This window comes from Homo sapiens, chromosome 10 (genome assembly GCF_000001405.40).
Source record: "Homo sapiens chromosome 10, GRCh38.p14 Primary Assembly".
NCBI lineage: Eukaryota > Metazoa > Chordata > Mammalia > Primates > Hominidae > Homo > Homo sapiens.
Window position 1 is genome coordinate 132,905,515 of NC_000010.11, and position 17,926 is coordinate 132,923,440.

The 17,926-nt window shown below is 61.6% G+C and overlaps 1 protein-coding gene across 17 annotated transcripts in view, besides 2 other annotated features; it reads right to left on the reverse strand.

The window, feature by feature from the left end:
* CFAP46 (cilia and flagella associated protein 46) overlaps window positions 1-17,926 on the reverse strand; it is a 134,179-nt gene that overhangs the window by 97,123 nt on the left and 19,130 nt on the right. For all 17 annotated transcript variants that reach the window (XR_007061969.1, XR_007061970.1, XR_007061971.1 and 14 more), the window contains exons 12-22: window positions 16,966-17,194; window positions 16,590-16,710; window positions 14,545-14,668; window positions 13,801-13,928; window positions 12,879-13,006; window positions 11,035-11,168; window positions 7,532-7,744; window positions 7,141-7,306; window positions 4,405-4,554; window positions 3,623-3,730; window positions 2,954-3,120 (exon numbers count right to left, since the gene is read on the reverse strand). Coding sequence is in view for 14 of the 17 variants with exons in the window: in NM_001200049.3 (NP_001186978.2) it covers window positions 2,954-3,120; window positions 3,623-3,730; window positions 4,405-4,554; window positions 7,141-7,306; window positions 7,532-7,744; window positions 11,035-11,168; window positions 12,879-13,006; window positions 13,801-13,928; window positions 14,545-14,668; window positions 16,590-16,710; window positions 16,966-17,194 (1,668 nt within the window). In the remaining 3 variants the exon portion in view is untranslated. The remainder of the gene's footprint in view (window positions 1-2,953; window positions 3,121-3,622; window positions 3,731-4,404; window positions 4,555-7,140; window positions 7,307-7,531; window positions 7,745-11,034; window positions 11,169-12,878; window positions 13,007-13,800; window positions 13,929-14,544; window positions 14,669-16,589; window positions 16,711-16,965; window positions 17,195-17,926) is intronic.
* Window positions 6,513-7,320: an enhancer, noted in NCBI's record as "H3K27ac-H3K4me1 hESC enhancer chr10:134725531-134726338 (GRCh37/hg19 assembly coordinates)". NCBI's record gives its function as "activates a minimal SCP1, AML or CMV promoter by ChIP-STARR-seq in primed H9 embryonic stem cells {active_cell/tissue: H9 hESC(primed)}" and the evidence as "EXISTENCE:reporter gene assay evidence [ECO:0000049][PMID:30033119]".
* Window positions 7,321-8,126: an enhancer, noted in NCBI's record as "H3K27ac-H3K4me1 hESC enhancer chr10:134726339-134727144 (GRCh37/hg19 assembly coordinates)". NCBI's record gives its function as "activates a minimal SCP1, AML or CMV promoter by ChIP-STARR-seq in naive H9 embryonic stem cells {active_cell/tissue: H9 hESC(naive)}" and the evidence as "EXISTENCE:reporter gene assay evidence [ECO:0000049][PMID:30033119]".

The window sequence follows — 17,926 nt, forward strand, 5'->3', positions numbered from 1 at the left end:
AAAATGGTGTATGGGAAGTACACTCTCTGGGTCCTTTTGTCTAAAATGGCTTATTTTGACCTGATATGTGACTGATGGTTTGGGTGAGCTTGAATTCCAGGCTGACAATTACCTCCACGTGGAACGTTCTATTTTCTTTTTGCTTCAAGTGGTGGCTGCTGAGAAGGTTGGGGCAGTTCTATTTCCTGCTCCTCTGATCTCAGCCTGGTGTCAGACAGAGACTTCCAGAGACACCTCTGATCCTGGCCTGGTATCTCAGCATGTCCAGAGCCAGGCAGATGTATTTTCAGCCTCAGCACATCCAGGGCCTGAGGGGCCAGGGTGGGTGGCAGGCATCTCCTGCTTATGCCAGAGCTGCAGGGCTGGGGACGCACCCCCAGCCCCACCTGCAAGGAAGGCTAGGGAGGGACATCAAAGGAGGTGAGTTTTCCTTTTGGAAGCAAATTGATTTTTATTACAGGCTGCAGGGAAAATGTAACCTCTAGCCTCCAACAGAGGGATGCCAAAGAGGGGGGCCTGGCATGGAATCCTGTCCATACTGTTTTGGAAGAAAGATCATTTGCAGTGAAAAGCCCGTCGATGTTGGCAAAGAGAAAACAGCGGGACTGGGCTCCAGACCAACTCTGCTCCGGCCCTTTGCTGCCACGCTCTCCCTCTAGCCCCCCTTGTGAACGTGGGGCACCACGCATGGCAGTGCCAGGCCAGCAGGGCAGGGTCCCAGGTGCACAGCTCCTGGCAGGGCTCGCAGCCTCCTGAGCACTCGCAGTCTCACCCCTGCCAAGGCAGTGCTTATAGCCCATCGCCTGGGTTCAGTCCCAGCTCTGCCACTCACCCCAGCTGGGTGGCCTCAGAAGCAACTTGGCCTCTGCCTGCCCATTTCCTGCTCTAGAGCCTGGGAACAGTAGTGCCTGCCAACCGAGAAGAGTGAACGGGGTCCTGGCGCGTGATGCCCCGTCCTGGGCACTGAGAAGAGTGAACGGGGTCCTGGCGCGTGATGCCCCATCCTGGGCACTGAGAAGAGTGAACGGGGTCCTGGAGCGTGATGCCCCGTCCTGGGCACTGAGAAGAGTGAACGGGGTCCTGGCGCGTGATGCCCCGTCCTGGGCACTGAGAAGAGTGAACGGGGTCCTGGCGCGTGATGCCCCGTCCTGGGCACTGAGAAGAGTGAACGGGGTCCTGGCGCGTGATGCCCCGTCCTGGGCACTGAGAAGAGTGAACGGGGTCCTGGCGCGTGATGCCCCGTCCTGGGCACCGAGAAGAGTGAACGGGGTCCTGGCGCGTGATGCCCCATCCTGGGCAATGAGAAGAGTGAACGGGGTCTTGGCGTGTGATGCCCCATCCTGGGCACTGAGAAGAGTGAATGGGGTCCTGGCGCGTGATGCCCCGTGCTGGGCACTGAGTGAATGGGGGGCCTGGTACATGGTATCCAGTCCTGAGCACTGGCCTGCTTGTGCCTCTGAGCACCCAGGAGACCCCGGACACGTGGAAGTTGCCGACGTGAAAGGCATCTTGGCACGTTCCTATGTTGGCCTCGCATCCCCACGGGTGTGGCCGACACAGGCCCTGGAGCCGTCCTGGTGTGCAGGGCTGTGGGAAGATGGGGCGTGGGCCTGGGGCGCTCCTTGCCTCCGGCAGGTGCTGCCCACGCTGGCCATTTGGCCACAGAAAACATCGTTACAGCCTTTGGGTCAGCGGTTTCATCTTCCAGGATTATTAGACCCAGGAAATTAGCCAAAAAGAACCTCAAGGAAAACAACCTTTACTGCAGAAACATTTACAATAGCAACAGATGGAAAACAGCCTCATATTCAAAAATTGGGGAAAGATTAGGGATGATAACAATTGCTCAACTGGATGGAACACGGTAAGCCACTAAAAGTGAGATCCGTGAAAATTAAAGAATGAGAATGTTCTGTGTCCAGCTATGCTGACGACGGGGACCTGGCGGCACGGCTGACTCTGGAGAGTGAGCGAGGGACCCAAGTCAGAGGCCATTTTCTTTCATTGAAATTACCCTTATTTATTTTCAAATTTAATTAGCGTGCATATCTGTCTATTCAAAATTACTTCAAAGCTGTATGTCGTTAGAAATGGCAGCTGTCTACCTGCTGAATGTCCCTATCCCCTCAAAATTCCCTTCGACCTGCCATGGGCGGAGTGTCCGTGTCCCCTCAAAATTCCCATGCTGGGCGATCCTCACCCCCACAGTGATGGTGTTGGGGTGGCCTTTGATGGCCTTTGAGGGGGGTTGGATCATGGGGATGGAGCCCTCACAAACAGGGTTAGTCCCTTATGAAAGGGACCCCAGAGAGCCCTGCCCCTTCCCGCATGTGAGGACACAGCGGGAGGCGCCGTCTGTGAGACAGGAAGGGGCCCTCGCAGACGCCGAATCTGCCACACCTCGATGGCACTTCCAGCCTCCGGAACTGTGAGCAGGAACCATCTGGGGTGGGAGCCCCCCGGTCTGTGGCCCTTTGTCCCAGCCTCTGAAGGCTGAGGCCCCCCCTTTCTGTGCCTACAATGCACACGCGGCCAGCAGGCCACACACCCCTCCTGCTGAGGCCCACGTGACTTCAGAATCCTTCCTGACCAGCTTTCCACGGGGCCACTGCTGACTTGTCCATGAGGGCACGGGGCCGGCAGGACGGAGGCTGCCTGTGCACATGGCTGAGGCCTGTGGGAAGCTTTCTGGACTGGGCCTGGAGACCTGGTGGAGTGCTCACCTGCTCCCTGATCTGTGATCGCCGCCCAGGCCCGCGCTCCCTGCCCGTTTTGGGGACCTGGTGGGGCGCTCACACGCGCCCTGATCTGTGATCGCGGCCCAGGCCCGCGCTCCCTGCCCGTTTTGGGGAACTGGTGGGGCGCTCACCTGCTCCCTGATCTGTGATTGAGGCCCAGGCCTGCGCTCCCTGCCCGTTTTGAGGGAATTTGTCCAGTCATGAGGGTTACTTACGGCCCAAATTTCTTCAGGTACTTGATGCCCATCTCCAGAGCCCTGTGAGCACAGGCCATGGTGGTCTCATGGTCACGCGCTGCATGGGCGAAGTGGGTCAGCCGCGTCAGGGTCTGCAGCTCCACCAGGGGGTCCGACCAGTTGCACTCGGAAGCCATTTTCACCAACTTCCGGTGGGTGGCAAGAGAAGGGGCACCGTGTTAGCAACAACGAACTTCCCACGGCCTGCAGCCCCCACGGACCACGCAGCGCATGTGATCCTAAGCAGAGGCGTGGCCTGTGAAGGGCCACCGTGCCACAAAAGCTGAGCTGCCACGTCCGTGCCTGTGAGGACCCCTGATGTCCTTGTAGCTCCCACACCCCACAGGGTGTCCTGGACACGGGACTGGCGTGTGCAGCCCTTGGCTGCCCCTGAGCGGCTCAGGGTTGGGTGGGAATGGAGGGTCCGCTCAAACAGCGTTTGCCTCGCACCAGGAGACAGGGATGCTCTGAGCATGGAGCTGAAGGAAGTGCGTCGAGGGGGCGCAGCTCCGTTGGGAGGTGGGGGAGAGCGGGGCAGAGTGGGGGTGAGCATGCACGATGGGGCTCGAGTTCCAGCCACCTAGGGCAAGAGCCTCGGCGTCCTCGCCTCTTGGCCCCTGGCCTCCCGGGACCCCTGGGGACACCTACCTGGGCCAGGGAGGGGACAGTGAAGTCCATGAGGCCCAGCCCGTTGCATGAGTACATTTCCAAGGCAACGAGGACTCTGGTCACCGAGCTGACATCCTCATTGGTGCCCTGGTGGGGAGGATGCCCTGAGTGTATCAGCCCAAGCGTGCGGGGGGAGTCTGGAATATGCGTGAATTTAACACTGCAAGGTATTAGTTTTATGGCAATAATCAGACCACAAAATTGGGAGCGTTTATACCTTAGGCTGTTTTTGTAACTGTTGACCTGCAGGTCATCTTCTCATACAACGAGGAGCCCCAAGTCCGTGCGGCCCCCATGTGTGAGGCAGCCTTGTCTGAAGGCTGGGTGACCCCCGAGGAGGGAAGGACCAGTGGGCCTGACATGGTGGCTGCTGGGGCAGGCAGGTCAACACCTGGACCCTCCCCGCCTCCCTGGGCCCCACTAGGGCCTGGCTCCTGGCCAGGCTCCAAGGCCCCTCCTCCATCTGGCTTTCCAGGAGCTCATGGGGCCGGCCCTGGGCCCACTCCTCCTTGGGAGAGCGCAGCACCCCCACAGGCCCAGCAGCTCACAGACCCCGTGGACGGGTGGGCAGAGGAGGCCCCGTGCCACACTCAAGGGCAGCCAGCGGCGGTGAGCTCAGTGGGAAAAGGGAGTGCCCAGGCCATCCGTGATGGCTCCATCTGGAGCTAAGTGGTCCCGGGGGCCCCACCACCCCCGGCTGTCTCAGATCTCTATGTCCACAGGGCCTCAGTCAGAGCCCAGATGTGGGCAGGGGCGCCCACCTGCTCCTCGGTGCCCAGCCGTGGCCCAATCTGCTGCTGCAGCAGCTGCTTGGCCTTGACCCAGGTGGCGATAAGCTGCTGCCGGGTGCCGGTGGGCACCGTCTCCTCGGGCGCACTCCCATTGGTCAGGTTCAGGGCAAACTCGCAGACCTAGGACAGACGTGTTCTCGGTCACGAAACCTGAATTCTAAACAGGGGACCTTGAGCCAAGATCCGAACCATTAAAAGATGGATGGAGCCCGCTCCTGATCCAGCCCGTGAAGGGCCTTAAACACGAGACCTCAGGCCCACCAGCGGCTGCACCACAAACCCAGCAGATGAAGCCCCACCCCCAGACGCCGAGGACGCAGCTGCCACCTGGCCTCCAGTGCGCCCCGGCCCTCACTCCTGAGCTGTCCCCACGGCATGGGCCTGGGACCCCGCAGGAAGGAGCAGCTGAGCCAGCACCCCTCCCCCACTGCAGCTGGTATCGGTTGGGGGTGGGGCAGCAAGGACGGAGCCCCGAAAGTGGGGGCGTGAAATCTGCCACGTGCTTTGCCTGCAGTGACGGGCATGTGGGCTGCTGCCCTGAGCCCCTGGGCTGCGCCCCAGCTCCCTGTCTTGCTGGCCGTGTGACCAGGTGAGTTTCTTCATGCTGTGCGCCTCAGTTTCCTCATCTCTATGTAGAAATGAAACCCAGTCTATGGGTCGTCGTGAGGATCGGTGAGTCCTTGTTCAGAGCCTCGCCCGGTGCAGGAAGCACTGGCCACCGGGAGTGACCTCTTGCTAACCCAGGGATGTCCCATCTCTCGCTGCCTTGTGAACACCTGCTCCTTGCAAAACGTCTTGGTAGCACAGACACCTACTGGGCAGCGTCCTTCCCTTTCCTCCCCTCCATCCTTCCTTCTGGATAAACTTCCAAACATTTGTCAAGTTCCACACAGCCATCCCATCGGAATGTGTTTGGGGAGCACTCACTCCCCTGTTCACCACCTGACTCCCCGTGCGGTTGTGCACATGCCCAGTCCAGGCACCGCCCAAGCCGGCTTCCTCACACTCTCCGCCATTCACTCCGTGTTCCCGGGCTGCCAAGTCGGTGCTGGCATTTCCTCTCAGCATCTGGATCCAGCCATCATCACATCTAAGAGGGAAGCTCCTCTGCACCCCCCAGCTGCCTCCCAGGGCCCACAGCAGGCTCAGCTGCACCCACAGCTGCCTGAGCCGCCCACGGCGCCCTCCCCTCCGCAGCCTCCAGCCTGATCCCTGTAGGTCCCCGGAGCCGGCCCCTTGTCCCTTCTCGGAAGAACGACCTGCACCTGATGCCACAGCCGGTGTTCCTGGCCGGCCCACACTGACTGCCCAGGGCCAGCCGTCCCCACTGGGAGCTGGGAGCACTAGGGCCCTCTCTGGCTCTGGCCTGGCGCAGCTGACTGTGAGCGTTGTGAGTGCCGGGCCGCAGGCTCAAGACTCTCCAGCCCGCGGTTTTATCCATGGCCCAGAAAGGGTCATGCAGGATGAGCTTTAGCACAAAGTCTTCCGCAAGGGTGGGGACAGCTCCCCCGCCCCGTGCCCCTGCGGAGACACTCAAGGCCTCCCTGCCCCCGCCCCACCGCGGGTGCTCCACACACAGGCTCCAGGAGGTTCCCCACAGACTCCCTTGACTCATTAGGAAACCGGCTTTCTCTCGGGTTCTTTGAGGCTCTTCTGAGTTAGAAATGGGCAATGGCTCATCAAACACTTCTGCAGCATCTGTCAACGAGAACACTATTTCTTTTCCCTTCCTTTTGGATTACAACAAAATCCACATTCCATGGGATAAATGATCCGCCTGGGCCACCAGGATCGTCCCACACACTGGGTCTGCTGCATTTTACTGGGACGGCTGCATGTGTGGGTGGTGTGGTCCCTGTTTCTCGCCGTTCCAATCCGCCGTTTCTGGTTCTATTTCCACTCTCCTCTAGGCCTGGAGCCCGCCCTGAGGGGAGGCCTCACACCCACCCACGGGTCTTGTTTTCCTCTCTCCAGCCCTGGCCTTATTTCCCAGTAACTGGAGCCCCTGACGTTTTACTTCCTAGATTGTTCTCACGTCTGTCGCCTCCACTGAAGGCAGTTTGCTCTCCCAGGGCCTTTCCAGGAGCCTTCAGAAGCTCAGCCCCAGCCTCCAGCTACAGGTCTGCAGGGCTCTGTCTCAGGTCAGCTGCCTCCCTGCTCTCTCCCTCCACCCCCACCCCCCCACCCCCACATCTCTCTCTCTCTCCTCTCTCTCTTCTCTCTCCTCCTCTCTCCTGTCCTCTTTCCTCTCTCTCTCTTCCCTCTCCTCTCTCTTCTCCTCTCTCCTGTCCTCTTTCCTCTCTCTCTCTTCCCTCTCCTCTCTCTTCTCCTCTCTCCTCCTCTCTCTCTCCTCTCTTTCTCCTGTCTCTTCTCCTCTCTTCTTCTCTCTCTCCTGTCTCTTCTCCTCTCTTTCTCCTCTCTTCTCTCTGCTTCTCTCGCCTCTCTCTCCTCTCCTCTCTCTGCTCATCTCTCTCTCTCACCTCCCTCTCTCCTCTCCTCTCTCTCTCTCTTCACCTCTCTCTCTCTTCACATCTCTCTCTCCTCTTTCACCTCTCTCTCCTCTCCTCTCTCTCTCTTCACCTCTCTCCTCTCCTCTCTCTCTCTCTTCACCTCTCTCCTCTTTCACCTCTCCTCTCCTCTCTCTCTCTCCTCTCTCCTCTCTCTCTCTCTCTCTCTCTCTCTCTCTCGGCATCATGGAGGTGGTACCTCCACCGCTGTTTTGATCTCGGAAGTGGCTCCTGCGTCCAGTGGGCTGTGAAACGCGTTTGGTCGCATGAATTTCCTGGACTTCTCGGCAGCCTGGACTGGAATCCAGCTGATGATCAGGCCTCGCGCCAAGGTGTTGCAGAGCGTCACCAGCATCACGGGGTCCCTGGGAGACATGCTTGTCAGAGGGAACCTTGGCCCCCGCAGGCCTCGCCCCGATCCCATGTGCTGAGTCCTCAGGTCACGGTAAGAGGCCTGAGATGCACGGGTGCCCACGACCCTCCTCTGCTGGGACACAGAGGGCCATGGAGTGCAGCTGCCTGCCTTTGCTCTGGGGTCTCCCAAGGGAAGAAGCCCCTCCCTGCGTGAACGCAGCACAGCCCACACGCACCCACTGTGGCCTGTGGCCTTAACGATGCTCAGGAGGTGGTACAGGGCGTCCACCAGCTCCTTCTGCCGCCCGGCCAGGATCAGGTGGTGGTTGTGGTTCAGGACGTAGACCACGGCGTTCTGCACAATCCACGCCTCCTGGATCTCCTGTCCGATCTCTGCGGAGCGCAGCCAGTTATTCATGGCACACCGGGACAGACTCTCGATCCAGGTTCTGCAAAACGAGCACCACCAAGCCCTTAATGCAGGGTCCCCAGCCCCGGGGCCAGGCACCAGGAAGGCTGCGGGGCCTGTTAGGAACCAGGCTGCAGGGCAAGAAGTGGGAGGGGCGGGTGGGCGGCGACCAAACTCCATCTGCATTTACAGTCGCCCCGCCGCTGGCACTCCCACCTGAGCCCCGCCTCCCGTCCCATCAACAGCTGCATTCCAGTCTCACAGGAGCGCGAACCCTATTGCGATCAGCGCATTCCAAGGATCTAGGCCGCGTGCTCCTTGCGAGAATTGAACACCTGATGATCTGAGGTGGAAACGTTTCATCCCGCGACCAGCCTCCACCCAGCCAGTCCGTGGAAAAACTGTCTCCCACGAAACCAGTCCCTGGGGCTGAAACCGCTGGGACGGCTGGATGGTGTCTAAGTGTGAGACGGTCTTTCCCCACCCGCCCTCGCTAAAGAGAGTGTGGACTCTTCCTATGAGACTCTCTTGTTTCCGGAAGTCTGTGGAGCCCTGGGCTCAGAAAGGGGCTCCTGTGGGGGCTGCATGGGGCAGAGCGTCTCTGCCCCACCCCTCCACCCAGCCCCCCGCCGGCCTGCGCGCTCCACCTGAAGCCTGGCCTGGTGCTCCCCTTTCCCAGCAGCCCCCTCGTTCCAGTTTGTCCTCATCCTCCCTGGACACCTCCAACAGCCCCTGGCTGGTTCCCGTGGCCACGAGTGCTCACACCTGCCATGGGACCCCCGCTCACCCCTGCAAACCTCTGGCCCCCGCCCCGAGGCTGTGTCCAGCCACACTGCACCCCGGCCCGAGGCTGTGTCCAGCCACACTGCACCCCGGCCCGAGGCTGTGTCCAGCCACACTGCACCCCGCCCCGAGGCTGTGTCCAGCCACACTGCACCCCGGCCCGAGGCTGTGTCCAGCCACACTGCACCCCGGCCCGAGGCTGTGTCCAGCCACACTGCACCCCGGCCCGAGGCTGTGTCCAGCCACACTGCACCCCGGCCCGAGGCTGTGTCCAGCCACACTGCACCCCGGCCCGAGGCTGTGTCCAGCCACACTGCACCCCGGCCCGAGGCTGTGTCCAGCCACACTGCACCCCGGCCCGAGGCTGTGTCCAGCCACACTGCACCCCGGCCCGAGGCTGTGTCCAGCCACACTGCACCCCGCCCCGAGGCTGTGTCCAGCCACACTGCACCCCGCCCCGAGGCTGTGTCCAGCCACACTGCACCCCGGCCCGAGGCTGTGTCCAGCCACACTGCACCCCGGCCCGAGGCTGTGTCCAGCCACACTGCACCCCGGCCCGAGGCTGTGTCCAGCCACACTGCACCCCGCCCCGAGGCTGTGTCCAGCCACACTGCACCCCGGCCCGAGGCTGTGTCCAGCCACACTGCACCCCGGCCCGAGGCTGTGTCCAGCCACACTGCACCCCGGCCCGAGGCTGTGTCCAGCCACACTGCACCCCGGCCCGAGGCTGTGTCCAGCCACACTGCACCCCGGCCCGAGGCTGTGTCCAGCCACACTGCACCCCGGCCCGAGGCTGTGTCCAGCCACACTGCACCCCGGCCCGAGGCTGTGTCCAGCCACACTGCAGCTCCCTTGAGCCTCCTGGCTTCGCTCCACACTGTGAAGCGCCGCCCTCCCTTCTGCCCAAGTGAGCGTCTCCCTCTTCCTCCCCACCTGAATCACATGCAGGCTCTGCCCTTCCCCAGGGAGCCGTCACACCGAGCGCAGGGCAGTCAGCCCTCACTCAGCCGTGTGGACGTGGACAGGGTCTGTCCGTCCCGCTAGACCAGGCTGGGCAAACTTTTTCTATAAGGGGCCAAATAGCATTTTGAGCTTTGCAAGCTCCATATAGTCTTCACTGTATATTTTTTCTATTTTGTTTTACAAATTTAAAAGTGTCAAAGCCACTCTCAGCTCACAGGCTGCAAACGGCTTGAGCCCTAATTTTCAGACCCTCCTCTGTCTGTGAGCAGGCCCACCAGGAGTGCAGAGCTCTGCCCAGCCTTGGGCCTGGGTCCTGGAAAGGCATCTGGAGCCCCTGCCTGAAATGACGGGGCTGTGAGGGCTGGAGGCCCGGGGTGGGCCTGGGCCCGGTGGCTCCTCACAGAGCCCGGAGCTGCTGCAGGAGAGGGATCCCAAGAGGCCAAGACAAAGGCCACCTGCAGCCGTCATCGTCATTGCTGCTGCCTGACCACCTCTTCCCTCCAAAGAGCTCGGCCGGGTGGCTCCAGGCGTGCATGGCAAGCAGGGACAGCTGGCTTTCCTTCTGCCCCAAGGGACCGGCGAGGGCGGGGCGCCGTGCCCAGCTTCTGCCCCGAGGGACCGGTGAGGGCGGGGCGCCGTGCCCAGCTTCTGCCCCGAGGGACCGGCGAGGGCGGGGTGCCGTGCCCAGCTTCTGATGCATGGATAGTCGGGGACACCCGAGCTTACCACGTTCGTGTGCTTGACGCAGCTGCATTGCAGGGATAAGTTCCCGTGTCCTATGCACGGCGAGCGACTATAGTTTACAGGGATGCTGGAAGGGGGACATCGAACATTCCCAACATGGAGAAACAACGCACGTCCAGCGTGACGGATTCGCTGATTACCCAGATCTGATCACCACGTTACACAGATCAAAACGTCACTATGCACCCCAAAAACGGTAAAATTCTTGTCAATTAAAAAAATAAGTTAAAAATATTTAATTTTATATTAAAAATAGGTAAAAACCATCATTGCTGGTACAAGCACTCCAATTTCAATTCTTTCTGAACTTGGAACCTCACGTCAGCAAATCCTGTGAGATGTTCTGTACAAACTAAATTTTCTTATTGACACACAAGGCGTTTTCGAGGCCAAGGCAGTCCTCGATAGCTTTTCCCACAATAGGAGGGAGAGCACAGCTTTTCCTCTGAGCAAATACAGAAGCTGCTCCTTCTATTTTCTGCCACGAAGACCACCTCCCTAGCAGCTGCCTTTCACGCATCATCAGAGGGCCTGACGAGGGTGAGCAAGAGGGACACTACAGGACGCTGGAAAAGACACTCCTGAACGTTTCCTCGTAGTAACAGCAAACTACGCCTGGGGTCTTGCGAGGAACGACGGCTAAAAACAGGAGAGGCCACGTCACCCCATTTTCTCTTTCATGGTCTCAGTCATTTACGTGACGATGGACACGTCCCCCACGCAAGAAGCCGGTGTCCTTACGAATGCAAAGGGTGTCCCTCCCCACGCCAGCCTGAGTGCAGGGGACACTCTGACCCACGGCCCCGGGCGGTGCTCAAGGCCACTGTCGCCTCTGCCCACCTGTATGTGATCCACTCAGCATTCACCTCCGGGGGCTCAGGCACGTAGCCAGCTGGGTGCTGGCTCAGGTCTTCGGGGGGGATGGCCCGGTCATTCAGCTCTACACCTTCTGACCGCAGCAAATGAACCGTGGCCTGCAAAACACACATGCGGTGGGAGGGGTCATGGGCGGAGCACGGGCCCAGCACCAGATAGGAAACACACACGCCCTTCCCTCAGCTCTGATTTGAAAATGCCAAGCACAGGCTGTGAGACCCGTTTGCTGTGCCCTTTGCAAGCTGGGCCTGCCCCAATAGCCACTCCAGGGACTAAAGCCAGCTCCTCACAGACTCTCTCCACCCATTAGCACAAGGGTCAGGGAAGAGAAGGTCCTTCCAGAGCACCGCACACCCCAGCAGCCCCGAAGGACCAACAGTGGCTTCCCGGTATCAGCAGACACCGGCCAGCATTTGCACCTCCCCTACGTAATCATTACGTTTTAAATGTTTGAGGGGAAAGGTCTGCGCTGGCCTCCGGGGCGTGGATGACCATGTGGCACAGCCCCGTGGCCGCCGCTGGCTCTGGTTCTGCCATGTGGCCTCCGGCTCCCTGAGCAGAGAGTTCTGTGCCGCTTCTCACCCTGACCCCAGCTGAGGGCATGGGCCTGGCACCTGGGAGCCACTCAGCAGACATACTGCCTAAATCGGCAGGTGCCCTGTCCTCCAGGGCTGATGGCCACGCACCCACTGAGAAAGTCCACAGAAACCTAACCGAGAGTGGCTCTGGGAACTCTGAAGTCACACAATGTCACAAGGGCCACACTTGTGTTGGTGCAGCGCGGTGGCTGCGAGCTCGGACCCGAGGTCCCAGGGCTGGGTTTGGATCCCACTCCGCCATTTCTACCTGCTGACTTTGGGCAGGGCGAGCCCGGGAGTCTCTGAGCCTGCGTGGGAGGAACAGGCCTGGCGGCCCCATCACAGGGACCCTGGACATCACGCCACATTCAATGCGCTTCTGCAGCAAATGCCGAGGTACCATCTCCCCACCGAGTGGCGGTTGCCGTGTGTCATCCACACAACTGCAGATTCACCACTCAGAAATGATTCCCAAGAGAAATTTACACCCATGCACACTTTGGTTTATATTTTTCTCCTAGAAAATCTCCCAAGAATCCAGGAAGTTTTCCCTCCCTCATATTCATTTTGTTTGAAGCACAGAAGGTTCTATGACAATAAATATCTGCAGTGGGTTAACAGGCCACGTGGACACCAACACCTGCCCCACAGCAGGTTGTGTGGATGCAGGAAAGCAACCCTCTGACGCTGTGGTGCAGGGACACACCTCAGCATTGATAAGCCCCAGTTCCAGGATGCACCTCAGCACCGATGAACCCCCCTCTCCACGACGCACCTCAGCACCGATGAACCCCCCTCTCCACGACGCACCTCAGCACCGATGAACCCCCCTCTCCACGACGCACCTCAGCACCGATGAACCCCCCTCTCCACGACGCACCTCAGCACCGATGAACCCCCCTCTCCACGACGCACCTCAGCACCGATGAACCCCCCTCTCCACGACGCACCTCAGCACCGATGAACCCCCCTCTCCACGACGCACCTCAGCACCGATGAACCCCCCTCTCCACGACGCACCTCAGCACCGATGAACCCCCCTCTCCACGACGCACCTCAGCACCGATGAACCCCCCTCTCCACGACGCACCTCAGCACCGATGAACCCCCCTCTCCACGACGCACCTCAGCACCGATGAACGCCCCTCTCCACGACGCACCTCAGCACCGATGAACCCCCCTCTCCACGACGCACCTCAGCACCGATGAACCCCCCTCTCCATGACGCACCTCAGCATGGATGAACCCCACCTCCGCGAACTTCCGCAGCAGGTCGGGGCACACCTGCCTCTGCAGGACGACCTCAGGCTGGCTCCAGGTGTCCTGCACCGAGCCGTCCCTACCTCGCTTCTTCTTCCCTGAGAGAAATGGCAGCAGGTAAGGATCATGTTTTTTTCTAGCAAATAAATAAAAACACAAGAATTCCTGAACCATCTTGGAGTGCCTGAGCCTCTCCCCAGCTCCGTGTAGGGTCCGCCAAGGTGGGCGGGTAGGCGGGAGGTGGGCAGCTTGCCCAGGAAGAGGCTGGAGGAGCTCTCCGTGGGATGGCGGAGGTGGGTGGAGTGCTGGCTCCCAGCCAGGGCTTGCTCTTGGCCACATCCCTGCAGATGCTCTTGGCACCTGTGGCTCTCCCAACTCCTCCTGCATCCCCTGCCTTCTTGGGGGGTGCCCTCCCTGACTCCTGCAGGACTCCCAGACCCCCTGTGCCCGTTCTGTCACCTCCCTCGTCCCTCCGGGTCCTGATTGTCCCTGAGACAGGAGCCTCTCCAGGGCCGGGTGCTGATTGATGAGCCTGCCCCACCCATGTCCCGCTCCACGCTGGGCCTGTGGCCACTGCCCTCTGCCTGCAGGTGCCCCGCATGGGCATCTGCTCACTGGCTGTGGTGGCCCCTGCCTGAGCCTCCGAGGCCCCCAGTGACTGAAGATGGAGTGTGACGACGGTGCTCGTGGCTCGGCCGACACAGCCAGATGTGGCCGCCGCCCCATGATTGGCGGTCCTGATAATTAGTGGGAACTGCTACCATTGTGACTTAGCAATACGCTTTCTCATGCGAAGGCCCCATGGGTTGTCATTGCACGAACCACAACCCTTCCCACACCCAGAGGGCGGCCGTGGCCAGGCTGGGACACACTCGTGAGGGCGGGTACGAACCTCGCCGCAGCCTCAACTTCTTCACCTTGACGTTGTCATACAGGAGGCAGAAGCGGCTCGCCGTCCGACAGACGTCCCACACGCCTTGTTTCCGGGCCACTTTGGCCAGCTCTGCCCAAATCTGTATCCTGCTCACCGAGAACCCAAACGAGTGAAAGGTGAGTAGACAAGTGTGGTTGCTGAAGTTAGAAAACACCTGGGCTGGCTGCCTGAGAAAAGGCCACTGTGGCTCTGCAGTTTCAAGGTGGCAAGGAGCCCGGCACTCGCGCTGGGTACGGCCTGGCGGGTGCATGTCCCAGGGTCGGGCGCAGCTCTCCGCTCTCCCTGCCAGCCAGCTGTGCGCGGCACCTCCCTTCCCTGTGGTGAGAAGAAAGGCCACACAATCCACTCCCCGGGGGAGTGCACGGGACAGGCCTCCCGGGGATGGTACCGACCGCAGGGTCGGTACCAAAAATCAGCCTGCTCTGGTCACAGGCGCTGCGTGTCCTCCGAGTGACAGCAGTGACAGGCGGGACAGGGCAGCCGCACACCTCATAGGCCGTGGCTGTCATCACAGGCTGGGGGGTCCCGTCTGTGGCGGGACTCCCAGGCAGGGACCTCGTCCCACCATCCTGGAGCAGGTGGCCTGGCGAGTCCCCAGACGGCCACATGCAGGGTCAGCTCAGCCGCCACAGACACTGGCCCTCGGGCTGAGCGACCCCCGGGCTGAGCTGTGCGTGGCGCTCTGGCCTTTTCCTCACTCACCTCTCCTTGTCGTTTTCGTTGCCCAGGCGCCGCAGGTGCCCGGCAGCTTTGTCCACGCTGACGGTGTGGTGCCACGCCTTCGCACAGAGGTAGGTGAACCGGCCCCTGTTCTTCCCGGTGGAGACTGAGGGCGGAAATGCAAAGGCAGGTGTTGCAGCTGCTGGCCAAGGGCCGGGGACGTGCCCATCAGTAACCAATGCCCTGCGCCGGCGCCGGGGTGGCCACCCACAGGTAGCGGCTCCAGGGGCCCTAGATCCCCGGCTCCCAGAAGCCGAGCTCCTCACAGAGCTGCAGAGTGGCATTGCCTGTGTCTCCTGCCGGCGATGAGGCCGAGCCAGTGCTCCTCTGAGTGGGGGAGGCTCCAGGAACTTTGGAGCAGAGTCTGCCAAGACCCTCCTGCTGCTCTGCTGGCTGCGCTGTCCAGCTGCCCTCCAAGCAGAGGCACCCGGCCTCAGACTCCCGAGCTCCCACCCAGCCCCTGCGTAGCACCCCAAGTCCCAGCAGGTTTATCCGCATGACGCCAGATGTTCCGAATCACCGCTCCTTTTCCTGGCAAATAATCACGAGCACCCGGAACTCAGCTCCACACCCTGGGGGGCCTCCTGTGCATGGGCGACCCCGGGGGCTGGGCCTCCCCTGGCTGGTGTCCACCCTCTCGGCCAGCACAGGGGTTCACCTTCAGGAGCCACTCAACGGCATCCTCCCCTGGAGCCCGTGCCGCCCTCACTGCCCCTGGGCAGGGCCCCGCAGCACCTCCTGCTGGGTGTAGGTGCTGTCTCGGCCCCACAGCCAGCAGTGGACATGCACCTGACCCCCAGGCAGCCAGCAGCACACGCCCATGAGTGAAAGGAGTCAGGAAGGCAAAACAGGTGAGTCTGGGTCCTACTGGTGGATCTGCAGCTGCTCCTCAAACTCATTAGGGCAAAATGAAAGCACAGGTGCGGCAGCATCTGAGGGCGGTGGATGACAGGGCGGCAGCCCCTTCCCGCTCCAAGAGTCGCCAACCTTCCCTTGCAGGGCGCGACCCACCCTGCGTCTGCCCATCTCCTCGTCTCAGACCCGAGACATGACCCAGCAGCTCCACTCCCGACCACCATCTCCACAGGCTGCAGTCTGGGTGACACCTGGTTCGTCGTGCTGGGTGAAAGCCGCCGGCTGCTGGGCACTGAGCTGGAGGGAGGCCTGGCAGCAGCCCCCAGCAGGACCCTCAGGGGACCAGCGGGAAGGGCTCCCAAGCCAGGCCCAGCCTGGCCCCTGCACTGGGCTGGAGAGAGTGGGGCCGCCTGCGTTCCCAGAGCCACTGGCGAGTGCCCAGAGAAGCTCGGGCAGTGAGGATGCAACACACCTGCCGAACCCTGGCTCAGTCCCCGCACATGGGCCGTACGGCCCCGTGTCCCATTACCCAAAGCCAGCTCAGGGTCTCCCTGGGACAGATGTGATGGCTTCAGCTTTGACCCCCGTGATCCAGGGAGCCCCGTCCTGTGCCTCAGGCAGTGGCTCAACCCCATTCCCCAGAGCAGGGTGTGTTGAAGTCCTCGCCCCCAGGACTTCAGGGTATGACCTTCTTTGGAGGTAATTTGGGTCAAATGAGGTCATCAGGGTGGACCCTAGTCCAATCTGACTGGTGTCCTTCCAAAGGGAGGAAACGAGGACACAGACCCCCAGAGGGGATGGCCCTGTGAGGATGCGGGGAGGAGATGGCGTCCACAAGCCAAGGAAGAGCACTCAGGGGGAATCAGCCCTGCCCACGCCTTGACTTCCAGCCTGGGGCTGGGAGGAGTAAGTTCCCGTAGTCTAAGCAGCGGAGCCTGTGGGGTCTGTCCCGGCACACAGGGCACCCGACTTGACTGGCGTGTGCACAGAAGACCGTCGCTGGGCTTTGCCAGACCCGGCGGGCCGAGATCGAAGGACACTGCCGGTGCAAGGTCCTTGTGCATCCAGGGGGCGGTGGCAGGGAGCATGGGGACTGGGGAGGCCCCGGGGCAGCCTGGGAGCCATTCCAAGGTGGACCGTTCTGGGCTGGGAGAGCCCAGTGCAGAGCTCACCTTTGGCCTCATTCTCACTGTCCAGCACAATCTGAAACGCGTCAGGGGCTAAGGCCAGGCCTGCATTCACCAGGAGGGCCCGCTTCTTCCTGACGCTGTCCTTTGGTGTAGCTTTTTTTGCCTGTGAAAAGCAGAGACTGATGAGCAAGGGGCCGCTGGACTTTCCACAGCACCTTCTCCAACTTCTGGAGCCTCCTGGCCTTTGGCAGGGGCCTGTGTGGTCCTCGTGCTCATAGACACAGTGACAGCTCGGTCCCAGGCCTCCTTGCTTCAGGCAGCCCTGGGCGGCTCCCGCCCTGCTGTGCCCTCAGAGCCCCGCCCCGGCCCCATGCTGGGGCTGCAGCACCCAGCCTCCCTCACTTCCCCGGGGCGGCACCTGCTCAACGGCCATGATGGCCTTGTCCTCTGCGCGCTCAGGGGCCTGGTATAGCGTGGTGCACAGACGCAGCCGGGTGGAGGCCATCTGGATCCTGTCCCGGTAGAGGCCCAGGCTGTCCAGGCGCGCGGCTTTCCGGAGGTGCTCCGTGGCGGGCTCCAGCCGGTCCTCGTCCTCCTCGATCTGCGCCATCTCCATGTGCACTTGACAGCGGAGAAGCGTCATGAGGCTGCGGGGGTGGCGTGGCATCAGGGGCCCTGGCGGCGCTGCGCCTCTGTCAGGCTGGGGTCACACCCTCCAGAGGAAGGCCTGCAGTGGCCCCAGAGTGTAGGGCAGGCTTGGTGCCCGGTGCCCCTGGCTTTCTGCCATCCTTCCAGTGATGTCCCTACCTGGCCCTGGGGACTCACAAATGGGGACAAGGAGAGAAGCCCCTGCAGACCGCAGAGGCCTCGGCAGCTCACGACGGCAGCCCCTGGAAGGAAACCTGGGCGCTAGTGCAAGACTGCCCGGCTCTCTGCCTGGGGACAACTTCCTGAAGTGTGGGGTGTGGTTCCCACAGGCCACGGCGGCAGGGGTCGGGGTGCAGGGCTGCGAAGGAGGCTAGGGTCTGGAGAGGAAGGGCCGTGCGGAGCAGCCCAACCAGCCCGTGTGGGGGTTCCCTGGACCCCCTGGCCTTGAGCAGCCATGTAGGGGTACCCCGGAACCCCTGGCCTCAAGCAGCCATGTGGGGGTGCCCCGGACGCCCTGGCCTCGAGCAGCCATGTGGGGGTGCCCTGGAACCCCTGGCCTTGAGCAGCCATGTGGGGGTGCCCTGGAACCCCTGGCCTCGAGCAGCCATGTGGGGGTGCCCTGGAACCCCTGGCCTCGAGCAGCCATGTGGGGGTGCCCTGGAACCCCTGGCCTCGAGCAGCCCATGTGGGGGTGCCCTGGAACCCCTGGCCTTGAGCAGCCATGTGGGGGT